This window comes from Homo sapiens, chromosome 16 (assembly GCF_000001405.40).
Source record: "Homo sapiens chromosome 16, GRCh38.p14 Primary Assembly".
Taxonomy (NCBI): Eukaryota; Metazoa; Chordata; class Mammalia; order Primates; family Hominidae; genus Homo; species Homo sapiens.
The window spans coordinates 56,769,828-56,793,481 of NC_000016.10; the positions used below are offsets into that span (position 1 = coordinate 56,769,828).

At 40.0% G+C, this 23,654-nt stretch overlaps 1 protein-coding gene across 4 annotated transcripts in view; it reads left to right on the plus strand.

Moving 5' to 3' along the window:
* The window catches only part of NUP93 (nucleoporin 93), a 120,158-nt gene that overhangs the window by 39,699 nt on the left and 56,805 nt on the right, over positions 1–23,654 (plus strand). The window contains exon 1 of one of the 4 annotated variants that reach the window (NM_001242795.2): positions 12,002–12,387. The exons of 2 other annotated variants lie outside the window; for them this stretch is intronic. The gene's annotated coding sequence lies outside the window, so the exon portion shown is untranslated. Of the gene's footprint in view, positions 1–12,001; positions 12,388–13,628; positions 14,046–23,654 lie in introns of those variants that run through there. One more of the 4 variants, NM_001242796.2, reaches the window with a different exon arrangement.

A 23,654-nucleotide genomic window follows, 5' to 3' on the forward strand; every position in this document is an offset into this window, starting at 1 on the left:
CAAACCCATTTCCTTACTTAGCGTCTGACTGGCCATTAAGCCCTGGCAGTGTGCCGGAATGTTGAAATCTTGTATTGTATAATATGATTTGTCTGTCTAAGGGTATTATGTGTATTTGGTTTTAAAGACACAAAGCCCTCAACTTTGTGTGTATATTCCAGAATACAAGACAGATTTCTCTACAGCAAAATTATTCACGTCTAAGAGTATAAAAGTGAGGAATTGACATTCAGCTGAACATTAACACCTGATGTCTTGCAAACTGGTACTCTTTGGGCTATCTGGCTTTTATAAACAAACGCAAACTAACATAACAGAATCAGGAAGAGAAGACTAAGCAGGGAAGGGAGAAGGGGTGTCAGTGAGTATGCAAGAGTAGGTGACAATTAGGTTTGCCTGGTTCCACTCTGCTGGCATGGAGTTGAAATTAGAATCTAGCTGAAGGGCTGGTGCCGTGTCCTGTTTATGGAGAGAGCTGGCCAGGGGCTTAGGAGTGGTTGGAGAAGTCATCATTGGTCACAAAAAACTTTCACCATCTTCTTTCACAGCCTGGGCATCTTTTGACTGGAATAAAGGGTGTGTTTTCACCCCTTGAGTTAAGGCTGAGGGAGTGAGATGACAAAAACATTAAATCTGTGACTTTGAGAGTAAATGAGAACCGAATGGCTTTAAGGGGGGAAAATTGACTTCCGCCACCCCCTCCAGTCACACAAATAAGATGGACTTACTTCAGAAAATTTGGAAAATGGCTCCATAGTCACTTTCTTGACTGTTGTACTCCCCCTTGAAGTTGTTAGAACAGATACCATTTGGGGAGTGTTGAACTTTTTAAACAGCATACTTGAAACGGTAGCCATCTTTTGTTTGAAATGACAAGGAAAATTGATAATAGAGAAGTGAGGGACTGGTACATGAAGTGTGTGTTAGAAATAGACTGTAAAAGTGGCCCTCATAGGCCGGGCGCAGTAGCTCAAGCCTGTAATCCCAGCACTTTGGGAGGCCGAGGCTGGTGGATCACGAGGTGAGGAGATCGAGACCATCCTAGCTAACACGGTGAAACCCCATCTCTACTGAAAAATTAAAAAAAAAAAGAAAAAAACACGTGACCCTCATAGCTCAAAATTGGTCAATTCCTATAAATTGACACACAGTCTGTTCCTTTATTCTGTAACGGAAAAGCTTCCTTATGTGCTAAAAGGGATCAGAGATGTGCTGATTTCATGAACAACCCTTACATCATTTCATTGTCCCCTCAAACTATTTGGAAGGCTGGTTATTGAGAAGTTCTGTGACTTTGTCCTAATTTGGAAGATTTAGGGGGAAGTAATAGGCCTGGAACTTTGTATGAAGTTTGAGGGACACATCATCATAATCTTTTCATTTGTATAATACTTTACAGTGGGCTTTGTCATTCTCTTGTTCCACACTGCAGTGTATGAGATGGATTGAGTGAGTGTTGGCATCATCTTTATTTAAAAGGGGAAGAAATTGAGACTAAGATAGATTAGTTACTGTAAAAGGTGGAACTTGAACCCAAATAATTCTTTATACCTTGTCGTGTAGTCTTACTTTTCTTATGCCTTGCTGAGGAAGGCATCAAGTGATGGATTGGTTGGGTAAATGCCGTATTATTCTTTTCTGCAAAGACACTAAGCCAGTTCTTTCACCACTGGTCGAATTTCTTAATGTTTTGTCCCTGCCTTTCCTCTGACCATTTCTTACCTGTTTTCTATGGGATGACATTTCCATTTATTCCCTCCAGCACGAAAGACTTGCTGGTTAACTAAATTAGAGATGGAAATGCTACTTAGAAGAGTAATTTGGCGTGATTGGCTTCTGTGGACTGTGCACTGAGTGGTGATAAACCTCATTTTTTCCATCTGAGATATACTTTGGAACAAAAAGTGATACTGATGTTTGTTGATACTGCTGACATAGTTTACTGCTGTTTTCCTTTATGTGACTTGGTGCTGAGTTTATGCTGTCTGAGTAGGTCATTGCTCCCAAGCAAATGAAAAGTAGCAAACTGAAACAAATGCCATATTTGGAACTTTAGGTGGACTGGAAGGAATGTCAGGGGTTTTAGAGCAGATTGAAGGAAAGATTTTTTGGTTTTGTTTTTGCCATTATTTTGCTTTCTGTTTTATGCTGGATACCACCTTCTCTGTTCCCTTCCCTTTCATTCTTTTTCTTTTTCTTTTTTGGTCTTTTCTCCTTTCTTCCTTTCACTTTTGCTTTCCTTCTGTTCTTTGCATCCCTCTCTCTGCCACCTGTCCCCTTGCCTCAGCCTTTTTAGACTGGCTGTCAGCAGGAGCTGCCATTGCTAATGGGAGTGTACCGGATGCCTCAGCGGTATTGAGGGCAGAAAAAGGATAAAGAACATGGTTGGGTAGAATTTTTTCTCATTTTTCTGATCAAGTGTTAGCTGTGAAAACACGGCTGTTAGAATGGCTCCCACAGCTTGGCAGTATGCACCCACCAAAGCTATCTTCCTGTGGAATGAACACAGTTGGAGAGTGAGTTTGGACTCCGGATTCTTTATACCTTGTCCTGTAGTCTTACTTTTCTTATGCCTTGCTGAGGAAGGCATCAAGTGATGGATTCGTTGAGTAAATGCCATATTATTCTTTTCTGCAAAGACACTAAGCTAGTTCTTTCACCACTGGTCGAATTTCTTAATGTTTTGTCCCTGCCTTTCCTCTGACCATTTCTTACCTGTTTTCTATGGAATGACATTTCCCCATCAGGGGCCTGGAAGCTCTGTGGAAGCCTAGCCTTGCTGTCTATCAGAGGTGGGCCTCTTCCTTGTTTCTCCACTGCCCTACATACTCTCCTTACTTGTGTTTTCTGCATTTGCAAACCCCAAATAAATGGAATTTAGTTTTATTTGTCTAGCCAGTTTGCTCATGTTCTGCTCTTGTAATATGTACCCTGAAGTGCATTTCCTTACTTTGGCCATTGCCTGAAGCCTCTGCTAATTTTCTACCTTTGTTTTTTAGTGTCTGACTCAGCTTGGTATTGAGGGCCTGTAAGAGTTTTCTGTTACAGTACTGTGATAGTGCGAAATATGTATTTGGTCTTGGACCCTGTTTCCTCCAGCCTGCTGGGAAGAGAGAGGATCTGAAGGTTAAGTTGATCACCAGTGGCCAGTGGTTTACTCAGGCATGCCTACATGAGGAAGCTTCCATAAAAACCCAAAAGGAAGTCTTCTGTGTTGATTGTCATTGTGTGGTGAGAGCAGAGTAGACACAGTTTGAATTGGTTTTTCCTCACAAGTACTTAGTAAGTCAAGGTTTGAGGTGAGAGTTGCAACTTATTTATTATTAGATGATTGATTATACATTAAAGCCAAATCTAAGTAGGGGGAGAACGGGGAAGAAACTGACCAAGGAAAAGAAGACATTTGGTTGCGTTTCTTGTGTTTCGGAAATGAAGTTGTAAATTAATCTACCTCCCAACCTCATATATGCTTTTCACTATTTGTTAACTATTCATTCTACTTTCTTTTTTGAGGATGGGGCAGTGTTATGGGATGGGGTTTATTTTGGAGCAACAAACGCATTGCAGAGCCTTTCAGGCATCTAGGCTTTTCCTTGGGGGTTAGGAAGGGGAAGGAGCCACTGATCTCATCTCTGTCTTTGTATTAACTTTCTAGCTCAGGTTGGGTTTAATTTCCTCCTCCATTCCTCTCCTGCCCTGAACACCTTTGGCAACCAGAGAAAAGCCTTTTGGTCAGTGATTGTAGAGTGTGGCGCTCAGACCAGCAGCATCAGCATCACCTGGGAACTTTTAAGAAATGTGATTCTCAGGCTCCCCGCAGACCTATTGAATCCAAATCTGTGAGGGTGCGACCCAGAGTCTGTGTTTTAACAAGTACTCCAGCTTGAGATGTACTGAATTAAGTGATAACAGAAGTCTACTGTAGGTAAACCTGCTTTTCTAGGTGTCTCTGCCAACTTTTAAACTCAGTCCACCTGTGGACTAATACTGAATTTTCACTAAACAAACTGTAAACAAAGCAGACTGCAAAGCAGTGTATTTATCTTTTAAGTGTTTGAGTCCATAAAGAATTTATAAGCACCTTTGTTTTTATCTTTGCTTCATCAAGGACATAGTGTTCAATATAATATATGTTTAAAACATATATATTTAAAAACTTATGACTTAATAATTTGTCAGTTATAATTGTTTTCATCATAGAGGTATTGAATCTGATATTAAGGCTGTAGCTCAAAATATACTACCTAAAAAGTAGTCAGAGCCCAGAGGAGAATAAAGAAGAGAGGGAGACATGGGAAAGGGAAGTGGGAGGATTAATAATCCCATCTTAGTTAATCATCATTATCCTCTCTGATTGCTGTGAGCGGATGTGCTGTTGCTTCTGCAAATGTTAATAATTCATGGATGGACTATGCCAAAAGGAGGCCTTAAATCTGGTCTCTCAGCAGATTAAATACACCGTCTGCTATCAGTAGGAGCCAGGAGAGATGAAAGATGGACTTGTTTTTATTCATTAACCTGATTTCTCTGCCTTTTTCCCAGCTCCTCTCATTCTCATTTTGTTCACCTTTTAATTTGCTTCTCTCTGTATGCCCCCCACCCCCACCATTAAATGTGTGCTAGAGATCTTGGGTCTACTGTTAATGACATTAGATTTTACTTTTCCTTAGCTGCTAGTAACAACAGATGCCATGAGAGAAAGCAGAGAAGCAGAATAAGTATTTCTTTGGAAATGTCTAAATCAGTCTGCATATTTGAAAAATGTATTAAAATGTGCTGCCTGTGTTTTAGAAATCATTTGAAATGGCTTCTCTTGGCTTTGAAGAGAATCCTATTGTATAGATGGTTGAAAATACATGCAGTGCTCTTACTTTATGCTGGTGTGGTGGTATTTTCTCATTTCGCAGATGAAGAAACTGAGGCATGAGGTGGATGATTTGGTTGCCTAGAACCCAGTTGTTCTGACTCTAGCTTCAGTATGCTTTCCACTGGACTTGATCACTGCTTGATTTTAGAAATCATATGTGGGTAGTCCTATCAGTCACCAGATTAAGGTTTTTTTTGTTTTTGTTTTTGTTTTTTTTTTTTTTGAGACAGAGTCTCGCTCTGTTGCCCAGGCTGGAGTGCAGTGGTGCAATCTCTGCTCATTGCAACCTCCACCTCCCAGGGTCGAGTGATCCTCCCACCTCAACCTCCCGAGTAGCTGGGACTACAGGCACATGCCACCATGCCTGGCTAATTTTTTGTATTTTTGTTAGAGATGGGGTTTCACCATGTTGCCCAGGTTGGTCTCAAACTTCTGAGCTCAAGCGATCCACCTACTTTGGCCTCCTAAAGTGCAGAGATCACAGATGTGAGCCACCGCGCCCAGCCCGAATTAAGTTCTAGTAATGTGTAGGTAGCTTCATAGGAACACTTCACCAGATTAAATGCTAAATGATAGTTTGCCAAGAAACACTACAGTTGGAAAAGGCTGATGACCATCTGGAGTTATGTAGACATTTCTAGAACTTCTGAATAATAATACTCAGCAATTTATAGGTTAATCAGTCATGTTGAGCACTTATTCTGTGCATGATGCTGTGTTAAGCACTTTAAGTGGATATAATATAGTACCCATTCTTACTACAGTTTCAGTGTTGTAGGTTTTCCTGAGGGAAACTGGCTACTTAAAATGCTCCAGTATCTTAAGGGTGTGAGATGGCAAAGTAGTAGAACTGGAAACGTTTTGGTCTCCTCAGTAGTTTGCTGGAGGACTTACTGTTAAGTAGCATGTCAATAAAACTGGGCCATTGTTTTTAAAACCATTTGCCTGTCCCTGCTGGAAGCCTGATGGAGAGAACAGTGTGGGGAAAGCGGATTTTAAAATCAGCCTGTTTTTCCCAAAAAAATGTTAGAATTGCAGATCCTTGTGCCCCTATTTTGAGATGAGGAGGGCACAGGTATAGCGATGAAAGCCCAACCCAGTATTTTATAGGGCCCCATAGACAAGGCCACCCCTCCCTTGCCATGGTTGTCTATCCTGACCTGAAGTAGGGGTAAAGAAAGGCAGGGGCCCCCTCACCTCTTGCACCCTTCATGTAGGACCAGTAACCCACAGGTCATCACCATAGTTGCTGTTTCAAATTCATTTTACTGTCATTTCTCATCATTTTTACTCTGGTTATTTTATATATTTTTTTTTTCTTAAAGTTTATATCCTTGCATATACTTTTATTTGTTGGTGCCAGATTTTTTTTTTTATTGCTTTGAGGAATGCTATTTTCAATTTTATAATAGGGATTGATGAAAAAATAGAATTTTGCGTTTAAGTTTTCTTCATAGAAAACTTTGAGAAAGCTACATTTTATTTATGTCAGTGTGTAAAATTATAACCTGATAATGAAAGAAATACAGTTTTTTCCCCCCTTGTTTAAATCGTTGAGGGTTGGATAATTTTAATAAACCTTTTCTTTCCGTTGAGGAGTCTTTTATTTTGTATTTTTCTTACCAGTATCTGGCCATATCACTGTTTTCCAGATAGTAGCACAAATAATAAATATGTGCAAAAACTATATAAAAATTAAGGTTTTAGTGTCTTTTCTTTAACATAATAGTAAAATTATGATGGACTCTGCTTTTAATAAGCAAATCCAAATCTGAATATCTAGATTTGTAAAAGAAACCTTGGGACAATGTTCAGCTTTAGTATTCCTTCAAATAACAGCTTCCCTGCTGAATTTAAAATAGAATTTGTTTAAAAGAATTCTATTTACAATCAACCTGGCAAGAAATACATCTGTTGTGAAAAGTACATTGGTAACAAGAATTAACAAGCTAGAAGCTGTTCTTGTGCAACCACCACCATCCCCCATGTAATGACTTAAAATTCCATGAAATCTGGGGCTCTAGCAGGCACCCATGCAGTTTTTCTCAGTACGTGTCCCATAGTGCTGTGCCAAGAGCTCTCTCTGTAAGGAAACAAGAAAGCCAGGTCTTGGCCCAAAGCCAGGACCTGGGCCAGAACCTGAGTTTGAGTCTCTTTGTGCCTGAAATTTTGTGGCTATGAATCCAGTGAACATATATCTTATTATTTCATGTATTTTTTACTGTGGTAGAACTTCTTCACATATTCTGCAAGTTCTTGCTGAAAGTCTCATTTGTTCCCTCTGTCTAAATACCAAGGCTTAATAGATGCTGAGAGAGAGAGTGAGCGTGTGTGTGTGTGCACGCACGTGTGTGTGTGTGACAGAAACAGAGACAGACTGATAGGAAAAGAGCCTTTCCCATTTTGATTTTTAGAAATCTGGGAGGCTGCTTAAAACTGTAGTGAATTGCCCTGGAGAAATATTGAGGACTATACTTCCTCTTCCCATTTTAGCCTCTTCCCATTAGTAATTGCTTTTATTGGGGAACTACTTCTTGAAAACACATTTAAAATGGAAATCTTACTTCTGAAATTTCTTTCACCGAGGTGCATTTCGTATCTGGCCCACTTATAAACCCTGCTCTCACTCTTTTGGTTTATAGTCATATCAAAGTCAGAACCACCACTCTGGGGCAGCAGGAACTTATTAGCTGGGAAAGCTTACTTTTCCCTGTTGTTTCTTAACTCCTGGGCAGTCTAGTTTGGGTATCAGCAAGAGAGAATGAACTGTAATTTGTTTTAGTGCTAAATAAGGCTGTGCAGAAATCTTCTCTTTTTTTTATTGACTGCCTAAATCTGGTGTTCCTCACTTAAAATAATATTCAGGATGAAATGTCTGCAATAAATTAGCAGAATTGCTTCTTCATTCTCAGCTAATTAGTAAGGACAGATGAGCTGTGAATGCCATACCACTGACTTTGGGTCAGGCCGTCTCATTTTCCCCGAACTTCCGTGGCTGTAGTTGCATATAATGAGGAAGCCAACTTTGGGAATTGAATACTGTTGGTAATGATGCTTAGTCACAAAGAAGAGCTTAGTGCCTCGGTACATTGGCCAAGAACCGCCTTAGTATGTTACCACCTAAGGCTGGAATTATCTCAGGGAGCTGAAAAGATTTGAAAGAACAAGCAAAAGTAATATTTAGCTCCCCTTTAAGTATAACTGCCTGCATCTACCTGGGCAGGGCCTAGTAGACACTAATAAAAGTTAAGAAGTGGTTTTGTTCAGTGCCCGTTAAGGACAGCACTATGGAGATAATTCGAATAAATACAAATTCTGGATGCTGCCCTCTGGAAGTTTGTCTTCTACCTATAGAGCCAACACCGACATTCCTGCAAGATCAAACTGTCCAAGCTGTGAAAAGTGACGGACAGACTGAATGAGAGCGACACAGGATTCTAAATGCCATGGGAATTCAGAGGCGTGGAAGCGGTTAATAACGAATGAATTCTGGGGTAGTTGGGAAAGACTCCCTGGAGCAGATGGGCCTTGAAAAATGAAATGGGTTTAGCTTGCCGGAAGTGAAAGAAGAGTAATAACCTGACCAAAGTCAGGGAGGTAAGAAATGGAAGTTATGTGCTAAGAAGTAAAATCTGTCAGGGAAGGGCAGTCAGACATGGAAGGAGTGACTGCCAGGCAGTGGAGTGTAGGCGGCAGGTGTTGAAAGTTTCGAAGCAGGTAAATATTGAGCAGAAAGGAGGGAGGGCATGGCAGTACTTATGGAAGTTGGTTTGGCCAGTGGAAGGATAGCTGCTAGATGACATTCAGAGGCAATTGTAGTAATACAGCTTTGAGGTGACAATAGCCAGGACCAATGTGGTAGCTGAGAAAACAGAGGAAAAAGATGTGTGAGGGACATTTGGGATAAAACATCTGCCACATGTGGTGCCTGATGGGCTTAAGAAGGATGTTCAGAAATTACGTGAGGTTTGGGGCAAGGAGAAGGATGGGTGCTTTTTGTTGAGGCTAAGGAATTGGAAGATTAACTAGATTGAGAGTTGAGATTTCATTTCCGTTTCTGATGTTCTGGTAAGCTATCACTGTGGAAATGCTCCTGAAGCATTTGGAGATGGGGTAAGAAAATTTCTCAGAAAACAGCTCCATACAGAATTTTCAAGAGCCACAGGCCTAGAGAGAAGAATTGTGGCAGTAGAAATGAATGTGTAATAGGAGAAATGTTTAGCAGGAGGCAAAGGGCCAAGGTCTCAGTGAGGAGAAGAAGCCAGGAGGAGGTTGGTAGTGGTGGGGTGGAAAGGGAGCAGGGACCCAGCTCTCCCAGCTGTATCTCAGAAAGCTGGGAGTTTGCTCATAGAGGGAGTCATCACTCAGCCTCACCTGGCTTCCTTCTTTACTCTTAAAAGCACTTACCCACCAGTACTATTGATCTTCCCAGCAGCCTGGAGAACCTGGCAGAAGACAGAGCAGAGCCCACCAAGTATCTGTAAAAGTTTTTCTGGGTAAAGTTCTATATATGGTCACTGTACTGTAGAGCCCTACAGTTGTTCACTTGAATATTATTTTACCTGGCAATTATTATAGTTCTACTTGAACCACAAAAGTTCAATAGCTCCCTTTTCTAGACTGTAATCTCTACATTTGTTTAAGTGAGCCCACTTTAATCCCTTATATTAATGAATGCTGGACCCGTTAGTTTTTAACCCTTTTCTTTTTGCTTTAGTTTTTGGTGTCTAGGGTTATGTAAAGCCAAAATACAAAATTAAACAATGGACTACCAAATTTAGGAATAGATCACTTTATGTTCAGTTAGTGACGAGTAAGTAGAGAAGCACCTCCTTTGTAAGGTGGCTTCTTTGTAGCATTTTTGTTGTGACCTCCTTACCTATTCAGGCATCTGGGGTCTGAAGGCAGGATAGTTAACACTTCTGCTCAGAGGTCCTTTCCAGCCAGCATATCTTGCAACTCCAAGCCAGCCACTCATCTAGTTTCCTTGGGATACTCGTAGATGGAGGAAGAAGGGGCTGAGCTGATTTAGAATTTATTCTAGCATAAAGAAATACCCTCTTAATTTATTTGTTGGCAATACTAAAGAGGAAAAACGTCTTAACAGTGACTTGGTGAAGTTTTTTTCAGTAAATAAAGAGGGTTTTCTTACTCCCCTGTAGTGAACCTCAGATGTATCCCTTGGGAACAGGTTTTACATCCGTGAAATAGTTTGACTTTAACCACACTTGGGTCTTTGGGTTCTTTTCATCCCCAGGCAGAGATTCCTATTGCTATATATCCACCATGCTCCAGTACAGTATTTATTTGATCAGAAACAAAAGAGTTTGCTTCTTGTACTGGTTCAGAGAGGTCCCCCAGGATTGTCTTTTGTTCAGTAATTGGAGCATAAGCTGAGCCTGGTTAATTTCAAAGCTACCCTCAACACACACGTTTCTCCCTCCCTCCTTGTGCAGTTTTCTCAGCTGTTAGTGGTACCTTGTATTGGGTCTGGAACAAAAAAAGCTTGATTGTTGAATGTTAGCTACAACTACTGTGACATCTGCTATGGCACCACATAGCACTGTTGGTGCAGTTAATTTTAAGTTAGGGTAAGAAAACTAGAAAGCTCTTCAGCTTTACAGTGCTCGTTAACACATGCACCTCCAAATTATGCATTTGGTGTTATCACAATGAATAAAACAAAGGAAATCATGAGTTGATTTTTATGCTAGTAACATAAGTTCTTTCATTGTTATTCACTGTTCAGACACCAGTGTGTTCCTATGTTCATTCTTTTTAGTTTACTTGGGGTTTTTTGTTTGTTTTTGTAAGGCAGAAATGTCTGAAACATCTCAACTCTGGGTATTTATTTAATTGGCAAAAGTTCTGATGTAAGAAATAAGTTAATTATATTTATTCTTTTAAAGGAACAATGTAAGTTGGTTTTGCTTCTTAAAATACAAAAATGATGATGGTAGCTGAGTAAGAACCGTCAGTAGTCAAATTCTGTATGCTAAATAGCCAAGTTAATATTTATATAAAAATACATCATGAAATTGGCAAATATTATGTGTCTTTCAGATTCTGCAGTATAGATGTTGGTTTTGCAACCAACAGATTGCAATCTTAGGGTTTGTGGTTTTTGTTTTTGAGGAGAGAATGGTTCTATTTTCCTTTTGCAGTCTGCACCATGATGATGGCCCATCACCTGACCAGCCTGACTTTAATCATCTGGTGCCTTGGTCTTAGCGTGGCTCTGTCTTTGCTTTTTCACAAGCTTTCCTATAATTGTACAGTTGTTTGCCGCACTGAATTTCCTTTTTTGACAGTGAAAAACATGATAATATTTTAATGTAGTCTTCAATTTTCAGGTTATATGTTAAAACGTGGAGGAAAAAAATCCCTTCCTGAGGAGCACTTTTAAAAATCATTGCAGTAGAATGGGAATATTCATTACTTACACATCATATATTTTCCCCTAAATGTTGTGCAAAGAAGTGACAGTTGAGCTGAGCATATGTTAATAAAAGGTCTGCATTTTCCTGTGTCAGTGACAGTTTCATTGGCTGTATATTCCTGAAATGCAAATAACCTCTGTTCTTTTCAAAGCTATAATTAATCTGAATAGTTATTAAACAGTATCAAAATCTTTTAACTACTAAGAGGCCAAACATTTAAGATGGCGAATTTACTGTTCTGCTTGAAGGACAGTACAATTGACAAGGGCACAATGATCCGAGATGCTTCTGTATGTTGTATCTACACATACTGTAGACTAAAATGGCAGAATCTGTCTGCTGCTGTATAAAATCTTTTAACTACCATTTATTTTAGCATCATGGCATGTGCAAATTCCTGCTGCTCAGTTAAGGGACCAGCTTCACAACTGGTGTTACAATCTGTGGCCACAGCACTGCATCACAATGCAGCAAATGCATTTTCCACATTAACCAAACATGACAGCTGAAGCGATTATTAACCATGCAAGATGTCGGAAGTCATCAAAGATTCACATCAGAGTAATTGCAGTGGTTTGGGTTGGGGAAAAAAAGTATCATAGCATTCCTTGCCTACATGTTGTCTCTCCCCCTCTTAAATCTTAACTTGGTACAGTCCGTTAACAATAAAATACCCTTCTGTAACCTATAAACTGTTACTCCCATCAGTTTGTGCTTTCAAACTGATGGCTGACTTCTCTGAATTTGTGTAGCGCACAACGAATGGTGATGCTGTGCTCCGGGGGCTGCAGTGCACCCTTTTTAAAGGGACCCTGCAATCTCATTGTTTAATTTGACTCTTTAGTGCTTCAGTCACATCAGCACTTGCAGAGGGGTTGTTCTTTTCCTTTTTCTTCTTTCTCTCTTTTTCTCTTCTCTCTGTCCTTCTCCCCACCCCCATCCCTCAATTCAGGCAGTTTGGGGTGGGAAAAACTTGAGCACTGGTTCCGACAGAGCTCATCTCATATAAGAAGGTTTGGAAGAGCTGCAGTGATCGACAGCATCGACCGTTCTGTAACTCCTTAAATTTAAGAGCTGCAGGTAGGATTGGCCGTGTTTTGTAAAGAAATTAAGACAAATGCACCCTGGTAAATAGAGTGGCAGCATGTTGTTGCAGTGCCTCTGAAAGACAAGGTCTTGGTTTGTTTGAAAATTTGAGATAAATTTGGAAGCAGTTAACTCATTTGATAGAAGAAGTACTTGATTCTTCTGAGAATTGTTCAGATTTGTATCTTGCCATTCTAATATTTTTTCTTTTAAAAATGTATTGGGTGGGGCAGAATTTGCTTAAATATTTAAATAGTTGGTTATTGGGATTTTTGTGAACTTCTTCTTTAAGTAGCAAGTAGTGTGGTCTTTAGGATTTTTAAAGGAGATACATGTGAAGTGCAAAATTCTTGTATGAGGTGGAATATGAAAATAGAATTTATTTTATTTACTAAAACCAGATCCTTCTTTGGGATTGCAGGTGAGAGTGAGTGAGTGCGTGTGTGTGTTTGTTTGTGTCTGTGGTGTGTCTGTGTGTAGGATTCTTTAGGAATTCAGTCCTTTATATTTGGTGATTAGGGAAAAAGTACTATTAGAGATTTTTTTGAACTATCTCACAGGAAATGTTTTAGCATAAGGCTTGAAATGAGAAGAACTAAACAGTAACACCAAAGAGGAGGATTCCTAAGTATTTACTAAATATTGGCAATTTAAATTGAGATGGTTCTTTTTTATTTCTTAAATTCAGTCTCAAAAGAGATCATAGGAGTCCTTTAAGTATATTTCAAATTTTTGGCTAGAGAATATAATTTGTGTAAGTGAAATGAAAACTTCCTAAGTCATGTAAGCATTATCTGGAGGGTGATAGAATTATAAATCTTGCCTGCAATACTTTTAATACCTTGATTAATATCAAAGATACAATACATTTAATTCGGCATTAAAAAGCAGCTTGTTTGTTGTCTTCTCTTAAAAGCAACAACAAAATATGATGATGCATATGGCTTTTTATCCTAAGGAATGTATTTGTATTGTGGGACCTGTGGGGTCTGGACCTCTTTCTGAAGCATGTACTTGGAAATTGTTCACCCTAGTTGAGGGGTTTATTTCCCTTTGGAGGTGTGGGGACTTTCTTTACTCTTAACAATAGGAAGACTTGAGGAGCTGTCAATTGGGGAATACAGGAGAGCTGCTCAGCAGAGGGAGAGGAACTGTGAGAATTCGGCTCCTCTTGGCATTGGAGTTCTGGATTTACCCATGACTAAGATTCCTTTGAAACTCTGACCCAGTGCAGCATTGCAAAGAATCGATTTCTGAGATGAGACAATGAGATGTGGTTTGCATTTTGTAAAGATGGAGGAAACCTCTAACACTGACCCTGTATGGGAGATGACTCAATTATCCACGCCTTGGTACAGTTGCAAATTATTTCCCTTTGTCTGAAGTGGGTGGATGCCAGCGCCTTCATCAGAGCTCCTTAATTTAATGTATGGAAAATGTCTCAGCCACCATTTTTAACAATTAGCTGTATCATGGTCGAGGTGAGCTGTATTCTGAAGGCAGCTGCAAGGCCATTTCATTTACATTAGGTTCCATGGCACAGGAGCTTTGTTACTGTAAAACTAAGAAAATGAATTTGCACATTGTATAGAAGAGTTCTTTAGGAAGGTGGAGAATATTCCCAGAAAGAAAATGGAATTCTTTTGTCTACAGTAAGTATTTCTTGTACTCATATAGCAGGGAGAGGTTGAAAATTTGCTTTTGGTTGAATATGCAAAATAGACTTTTAAATGAACGCTGCAAATATGAAAAGTGTAACGCAGAGGTTCTGCGTTACACTGGATTTTTTTTTAATGTATTTCTCAAAAACCAGGTGTGATATATATACTTAAAAATAGGTTTTGTGAGTGATTTTAGCACATGATTTTAATTATTCATCAGTAATTTAAGTTAATGAGAAGTATGAATTTGTCACTAGTCATGAATGGAAATGACACTTGAGAGGAAAAAGAAATCTGAATATAGTAAATTTAAAAGAGTTCAGGTTTCTTTTCACTGTCTTTTAAAAGCAGTCTGTTTTCCATTCCTGAAAAGAATGGCTGGATTTTAATTTTAGTGTCTTATTTTTGCTCTTGTTTTTAATGAAAATGCTTCCGGGTTAATGACCTATAATAGCTGATTAAAATACACAAGAAACAAATGTTTTGACAAAACAAGATTTTTGTTTTCAAAGATCAATAGATTGAGGCTTTCACTCTCACTCATGGGGATAATTTTTAGTGCCTTCTACTTAATTAATAGTTGTGACTTCAAAGCTGCTTGTGTAAAACTCCTGTTTGTAATTGTAAGCTTATAAATCTTGATTCTTAAAATTAATTGGATTTGACCCGGCTTATTTCTTTGTTCCTTTATACTGTTACTAAGAGGAAACAAGTGGATTTTAACTTTGATTTGTGTTTCTTTTAAAGGCTGAATAATTTTTATCTTTTAAACCCTGAAGAATTTATAGTGCATGTATTTTATAGTAAACTTTACCATGAAGAATTTGCTCAACATGCTTTATTAGCTGTTTCAGGAGTTGAAGCTTCACAGAACTGGGTATCTGAAAATCCTTTTAACTTGATATCAAATTTATAAAGCCAGCTGTTCTTCTAGCTCTTGTTGCACTAGCTCCTGTTTATCCTACTCACTGAGTGCTGTCTTCTCTAATTAATAGATGTTGGAAACTAGGGAGACAATGATTTTCTTCACATCAGCCTTTTCATTGACATAGGAAGGTTCGGTTGTTGTAAGCCCTGGTTAGAATCCTACAAGATCCATAAATCTGTGGCGCAAATATTAACTTACGGAATAAGAGCCTAGATCTCAGCATAATTTTTTAATTATGGGGACAGCATTTAACATGTTTAAATATATGGTAGAATGCAAAGGGATTCTTTTCCCTTGGTTTTTATGAGGCTTGCACCTTGAAATGAAAGAGTTTTAGGTCAGCAAATTAGAACTCCATTTTAACTGCAGATTTGTTTGCATAAAATGTTTGGTTGGATGACATGGGGGGTATCACAGAGCCTCCCTTTGAAATTTTTACAGTAAAACTTTGTTGAAGATCCTGGTCTTTTTTCCTTTTGTTGGCTTTATAATAAGGCTAGGTGTTAAGTACCCTGGGGGAGGTAGGAGAGACCCAGTTTCTTCCTGCTTTCTTTGCCTCCACCATGGTCTACTCAAGTTTGGCTGCTCGGAAGAGCCTCTCCTTTCTGGTACTTGTAGGGGATTCCTGAACCTCTTCAATCTGGAAACTCTTCAGTTTTCTCATGAAATTTTAGCCTGGCTGATAGTGAAGAGTCAGGGATTGGTTCTTTTTGCAACAAAAAATGTATTTGTATCAAACCTTTTACTGCTCTGACAGTACCATAATGTGGATAAGCAAGCATGTCAGCCAGCTCGCTAGGAAACATTCCGTGGTACTAAGATGGCAGAGAGGAAGGAGTAAAATGGCGTCACCAGGAACACTGTGATAAGGGGTGGACCGCACGAATTATTTTCTTTAAATTAGGTTTGAAGACACCTTTAGGAGCACTGCCTTGCCTATTTACAACCACTTTTTATTGTTAGAAGATAAAAATTTTGAGATTTTCGAAGTAAAGATTTAATTAGCACTTATATGTAGATGGCTTCAAATGTTCCTTCTAAGAAATTGATGGCAAGTATGGTTAAAATAGAATTTAAAGTACTTTGTGTTAATACTTCTGAAATGCCTTGCCTTATGCTTTCTTTTTCTTTTTTAGTATAAAAATTTACTCCTTCCAACACAGGGTGAATTTTTAGAAAACAAAAGACAGTGTGCTTCTTTATGGTGAGGTGAAGTAGCATTCCTACGAAACTATGTTATTTGTCTCTGGTTTTCATTCTAGCTCTTTGTGGGTTTTAGTTATTTTATATATAAAATATATATTTTGGCCACCTTCAAAAACAAAGCTTATTTTCTTTCTTTTGTGGTTCAAGGTATGGATTATTTTGCATGTGAACAATAGTCATAGTGGTAATGACAGTGTTGATTTCTCACCTGTTCCCACCTCTCATGAAGTTGGAGTTCTGTTGCTGGCCTTAGGGTTTAGTGCAATCAGCTCATGTTATAGTTAAGTAAAGGAAGGCTTAACTGCAGTTAAATAACTTTCTCAAGGTCATACATCTGGAAAGCAGTCGATTTTGCCCTAAATCTGGACCACCTGACTCCTAATCTGTGCTGCACTGTGTCTCTGTCTGCATCTGACTCCATTTCTTTCTCTGCCAGCTTGCTGGTGACTGATTGATCTAATGGATTGAGCTTTCAGCAAAGTCTGTCTTGTCTTTGCCTTAGCAACCTAACTCACAGAGATGTTCATTTTCAGCTGTGCCAGAAATTACTTACTGAGCTGTGCTTGGAGTCTTCCTGGGCCTGTGTTGAAGATGATAAGCATTTATAAACAAACATTTAAAAATAAACTCTATCTTGCAAGTTGAGCTTTTGGGTCCATTGTGTTGGCTCGGCATGAACGGTGAAGTCTCCTGGGATGGGCAGAGTTGTTACGTTCATGTGCTGTAAGCTAGGATGGAGCCAGGCATTCTGACATGTCCTTTTAGTGGGTCACGACCTTTTTAACTCTAGGTTTGAGGGGTCCTGCAGGGCAGAGTCTCCCCTTCTCCTCCCAGTAAGGATGAGCTAGGTGAAAGGTTTTAGCTCGCTGTCAGTTTCAGGCAATTTGTATTTGAATAATGGTCTTACCATCTCTCTTTCTGTTGCCTGTATTTGCCACTCCAGCTAAGCAGTGTTTCCAGTTTTCCATACCTGTGGTGACAATGGTGAGTGTTGCATTCTGCAGTATTCCTCAGCTCTGACAGGGTAAAGTCACAATGTTTCCAAACTTAATTAAGGTTTTAGAGAGTGTGAAATCACCAATACTGTTAACAAAGGAATACCTTGATGAATTCCATTTAAGAGAACGTGAAATTACAAAAGGGAAGGTCTGTTTGTTTTAGTAGTCTCCAAACAAATCCATTTTTGAAGAAAGAATGTTTGAATAAGAAGAAACTGCAGCAAAACCAGAGCTCCCTTTTCTGTGACAGATCTGTGATGATTGGTGCTCCAATCCCATCAGCATAAGCATTGCTGCATAGCAGGAGGAGCTGTGATTTTCGACTGCAGTGTAAATGACTGACACCGTATACCAGCAGGGAAATGTGAGACTTGGTTCCCAAACATTGTCCTGACTAACAGTGCTCCTTGTGCTTGCTAAGTAGAACTCGAGGCTTAATCCTGAGCGCTGTAGAAACCAGCCTGGCAAAGCTGCTCAGCTCCTACCTGACTGACTGCGAGACACACCCTCTGCTATCCTTTCCTGCTCGTGGCCCCCAAATCTTGCTTTTGTTTCTTTTTTCCAAAGGGAAAAAGACACTAGATATGACAAAGCTGGGGATCTGTGTGTGTGCTTTAAATAGTAAAGAACTGCTTTAGTGGGTTCTTGTAGGGTGGGTTTCGGGAGCTGTGGGAAGGAATGCTGGTCATGATAAAGGCCACTATTGATGCATTCCCATTTTATACTGCAGTGCGGTTTTAGCATCCAGAGTCCTTTGGAAGTGGATTAATGCATTTCCAAGGTGGAAATCAGTTCCCTGAAGACATATTGAAACATTTTTTATCATCCCTGAATGTATCTTCCTTATCTTATCTTGCCCATCACCTTAGCGTGACTGTGATTAATATTTTTTAGATCTATTTATACCTTGGGTGAGGAGAGGGCTCTGCTGCTGCTCTTTGAAGCCAGACATACTGTGACACACTGTTAATATTCCATTTGTGAAGCTAGATTGAACCATTTTCTCCTCCAAATCCTCTCTTTTCTTGCGTCTCCAAAGTTTAGCCCTAACCTTTTTGGAGTGATTGCGGGAAGGGGATAAAATGCTCACAGTTATCCCTGCTTTCTCTCCTGGGGTTACCTCAGCAGTCTGACAGCAGTTGCCTGGCTGCTCTCCCTCCCCCACTGGACTTCTGTTGGTCCTGCTTCCCCTACCCTCCCAGGAGAGGAGAGAGAGGATGGCCAGCAGAGGCCCTTCCACCACAGCCTGGCACATCCTGCTGCATCACGGCCCTTCTCACTAGGACACGGGCTCTGGCCTGATTTTCTGGAGGTGGTAAAGTAGCAGTACAGAGCAGTCAATTCCTTTCCCTATCCCTCTTGTGACCTCCAAAGGAAAGTTGCTTCTACAACCCTACAAGGGTAGCATAGGGCTTTGCTGGATTTTGGAGAAGAGGGAGGTTCTGCTGAGAAGCATTTTTTCCATTAGTGCCTGGGTGGCCATCATTTATCATTTTATTCATTTATATTATGCCCTTAACTTGTTTGCACTCCATACGGAGTCTCAGAGCCCTTCAGTAACTGAGCCGGAAGGACTGCTTCCTGGGATGACCAGAGAGAGAAGTGCAAATAACAGAAATGCCCCAGGGCCCCTGAAAAGGGCAGAACTGGCTTTGCAGTAGTAGCACGGAGATTTAAATGGCCATCATAGGAATGCCCTTAACCTTGGCCTTCCTCCCCAAGTGCAGCAACAGATGCGCTAAGCAGCCCTAGCTTGATACTGTGGTGTAGGTATCAGAAGAGCCATCTAGTAGTTATGTGCCTACATTGTGTTGACAAGGGAGATGTGTCATGCATCTCTGGTCTCCTCAGTACCCCACCACAGGAATGGCATGTCCCCATTATTGCAGATGACTTTCCCTGTAGCTTTCCCCTCTGGGTCATGGTGAGTCCCACCTCTTAATTTATTTTATTTTTTTTTACCCGATGCTGAAATCTTTGAAGTTGGGTTTTTGTTGCATGATAATTTTTTTTTCTTTTTTGGGAGGTGGAGGGGTGGTAGTAGGTAGGGTCTGCAAAAGGCATTTGGATAGACTTACATTAGTGTCTCTAAGGCCTGTGGCTTTCCCAGAAGGCAAAGGTGCAAATGGAGTTATATCACAGCTGTAATGGCATGCCCCTGAAGGGACCAAGCATGCCAGCACACTTGGGCTAAAGTGTTGCCTGTAAAGCCCTTTGCTGGTCCAGAAGGAGGCATTGCCCAGTGCCATGTGTTGTCAGGTTTTGAATCACCTTATGCACATTCAATTCTCTTTAACCTGTGAGAACTTATAGACCATTCTGAAAACCAATTTAAATCATGGGGGCAAATAATTTGTTTTGCCTTAATGGACACAAATCCGTCACATAATTGTGTGAACCTTTTTTTAGCCCAATAGCAGAAACCATGTACAAAATGGGACCCAGCAGTCTGACAGTGACAGATGGCCTGGTGCCCACACAGTGCCATGTTATATCGCCAAGGTCTGCCACCTGTGGCTCCAGAGCTGCCTGCAGCAGTGATGGATCTGCTGAGCTGGCAAATGGTGGAACTCCACAGCCACTCTTACAGCGTCTGCTGCCACCTGCTGAATGAGAGCAACTAGGCTTTTGCATAAATGCACAGCAAGAAATCATATAACAGCATTAAAAACATATTACAGTTGGCGAATATCAGCTCTGCCCGCTTAGCACTGCTTTCTGCAGGGTTATTTTTGAAGTTATATATGCAATCTGTGAACAAACAATTTAAAGTATTAAAATTTTTGTAGAAAACAAGCAACAGGGCCAGGTGCAGTGGCTCACGCCTGTAATTCCTGCACTTTGGGAGGCCGAGGCAGGTGGATCACCTAAGGTCAGGCGTTCAAGACCAGCCTGGCCAACATGATGAAAACCCGTCTCTACTAAAGCAGAAAATTAGCTGGGCATGGTGGCGTGCGCCTGTAATCCCAGCTACTCAGGAGGCTGAGGCAGGAGAATTGCTTGAACCTGGGAGGCAGAGGTTGCAGTGAACCCAGATGGTGCCACTGCACTCCAGCCTGGGCAACAAGAGCAAAACTCCATCTCAAAACAAAACAAAACAAAACAAAACAAAACAAAAAAACAAGCAGTGGTACTTTAAATATCTGAGTTGGAGAATAAAGCCTGGACTTTTGCTATTCAGTCTGTATTCCTTGCAGAAGGAAATTCAGTGTCTCATGGGCCTTGTAAGCTGACGTTTTATATATTCTTATTTTATTTCAGTAATAGTGTCTAATGAAATAACCAAACATGCTATAAACCCTTATGGAAGTTCACCCAAATCTTGAAACTGCTCAAATTAAAAAATTTCTCTGTTCATTTTCTGGGCTTTATCAGTAATGAACATCTCTTTGCACTTGAAAAAATCCTTGAGGCGCTCTCCGTGTAGGCACCACAAAAGGGAGCTAATGAAAAGCGAGTCCACACCGTCTGATAAGCCCAGAGGCTCTCCAGGTACTGGTAGGATTTCTGTTGTGCTCATCTGAAAACAGTATCTTATTTCATCCTTCCTCATTTTCTCCATAAGTAGTTTTTTATCTTTGTACTAATTTTATCCAAGAGAAGTTTTTAGAAGAGGTCATTCATTTGTTCAGAAATTGGCAAGAAGGTTTGGGAGAGGTTCAGGGAGCATTTTACTTAGAATGAGCTGAAGCAAAGTAATGGTACAACTTACATTCCTGTCTTCTTAGAATGTGGATACTTCTCCATTGCACTAACTAAAGTACTAACTTTAGTACCAACTGAATACTCAATAGTATTCCAATACTTATTGGACTTCTTGTTTTATCTTGGAGCAGATCCTTTATTGATTAATTTTTAACTGCTTTATTATATTTTCTTTCTTCCTTCATTGCTTTCTAGCTGTTGCTTGTGTCTTAGCAATGGTTTTTCAACAACAATGACCATTCCTGATGCCACTGCTCATTTTGTGTTGATGTTATTTTGATTTGGAATGTTGGCTGCAGATTTCCTATTAATTTGTATGTATTGTACATATTAAAATGAGAGATGATACATGATTTTTGTAGCACCCGGCACCTATTTTTATGTCATACCAGATACCTTCTGGTAAATGTTCAGCCTGCTGTAGATGCCTCACTTTTACATTTTGATATGGTGGATTGCTGGTTGGTCTGTTTAATGGAAAGAGACATGAGATAGTCTCTTGTGTTTTGAAGGTCATGAAAACATGACTATTGCCTTGTAAGCCCAAATTAGGCTCTTGTTTATTTATTTTAACAGGAAATTTGTGTGTTCATCAATTCAGACTCTGTGTAACTGTCCAACTGTCCAATCACTTATCTGCTATAGGTGGGAAGGACAGAACTGTGAAAGAACCAATGTGAGCACTTTTTTGCCATCTGACTTTCCTGGCTAAGGTGGACACTGAATGTTTTTTTCACAAAGGCCCTTATTTATTGTAGTTTTCACTTTTGGGAACAAATAAGCCAAGAGAATTTGGCCATTTGGCGAAAACAAACATCCTTTTGCTCGCTCCCTTTTTCTACAGTAGGAATTAGCTGCCATCTGTATTCTGAAACCCAGAGTTTGCATGATAGGTAAAAATAAGGCAGTTTCATGCCTTTCTTGACCTGAGCCATTTAAGATCCACTTTGGCTGCCAGGTCCTTGAGATGTGACTACACGTTCCTTAGGAGAATCAAGTTAACCTTGATGTTACGTTCTGGGTTGTTCTTTGCCAGGATACATTGCAAAGCAGCGAAGCACTTTCTCTGTCAAAGATGGAACACATGACTGGAGATACTGCTTGGACAGATGTGTAGCATTTATTGTTCTACAACAATAATAGTAGCACTATTTTGGAACACTATGGTGTTGACCTCTAAAGCAATGAGTTCAAGCTTTTAGACTGTGACTCATACACACATACAATTACATATATATAATTGAAACAAAAGTTTCACAAATCAATACCCATACCACATATCTCTGTTGCATTTATTTTATTAAAAAATGCTGATTGGGCCAGATGTGGCAAGAATGTATAATCCCAGCTACTCCGGAGACTTAGGTGGGAGGATCACTTGAGCACAGGAGTTTGCGGCTGCAGTGAGCTGTGATTGTGCCACTTGTCTCCAGCCTGGGCAACAGGGTGAGACCCCATCTCTTAAAAAACAAAAAACAAACAAAAAAACAAAAAACTGGTTGATTTCATGACCCAGTTATGAGTTCTGATTCATATTTTGAAAACCACTGTTCTAAAGGAATGCCAAAAACTTGACATTTGTTGTTTCATTTCTTTCCTATGTAATGTATGGGGGGGAGGAATAAATGTGCAAACATAAAATATCAGTTTATCTCACCTTGATTTGCTATGATGAGAGATAGCATGGAGCGTGGAAGAGGGAAAACAAGGGGTCACAAAATTTGGGTTCTGAGTCTGAACTTTGCTACGTATGAACTGGGTCATCTGGACATAGAACCCCAAAGAGCTTTTAAGTTGGTAGAGGCTCAAGAAACCGTTTTGTACAGCTCACTCAACTTTTAAATCTCTATTAAGGATATACTTCAAAGTATGATCCAGTTAAGTAGTATTGAGAGACAGTAGCTTTGGGTTAAAAATAAGGGCTAGAACCAGATGTGTGTAACACACTTATACCTGGCACAAAGTGATCACCATTTAAGTGTTAGCTATTATTAGTATGCCATAAGCATACTCTGAGCCTCAACTTTATTGTTTGTAAAGAGTAGCCTGATGATGAAAACAAATTTAAGGAAATTTTACTCTCCTCCTGGGTTCCATCCTTTTAGAGAGAGAAATTTTTTTTTATTTTTGCTGTTTAGAGGTTTACTCTTCCCTAAGTATCTCAGAAATAGTTGGTCTTGAGAGCCGGAACTATGTTTGAATGTTGCCTCTGCCTCTTCCTGGTCGGGAATTTTTGCTCAAGTTAGTTAAATGTGGAAATCTCAGCTTCTTACCTGTAAAATGGGGCAGGGGATGGGGATAGGGGAGAGTGGGATGATTATGTCTGTTCTTTCATATTGTTAAAGGATTAGCAATAATGTCTTTGAATTGCCTAGAGCAGTGTCTGGCCCTTAATTGCTTCCTGAATGGTGGCTATTATGTGTTATAGAAAGCTGGAAACCAAAACACATTTGAGGAGCCAGTCAGGCAAGGGTCTGTTTCAGCACCCTGGCAGTGAGGAGCAGTACACAGATGGGGAAGTCAGGAGGAGTTAGTTTACCTAGCTGGCCTGCAGATGTTTTGGGAGGTGTTCTTTATTGAGCTGACCCACAGCAGAAGGATCAAATGGGGGACTGTGAGCAATTACAAGTGCTTGTTGATGGGAATGAAGGGATAGTAGTGATGGGGAGCTCTGGGGGTCATCATTAGATGCTGGCATCTACCAGTGGGAGGTGAACTGTTGGGCCTTTTCTGTACCCACGGGGCATCTCAGTGGCAGGGAGC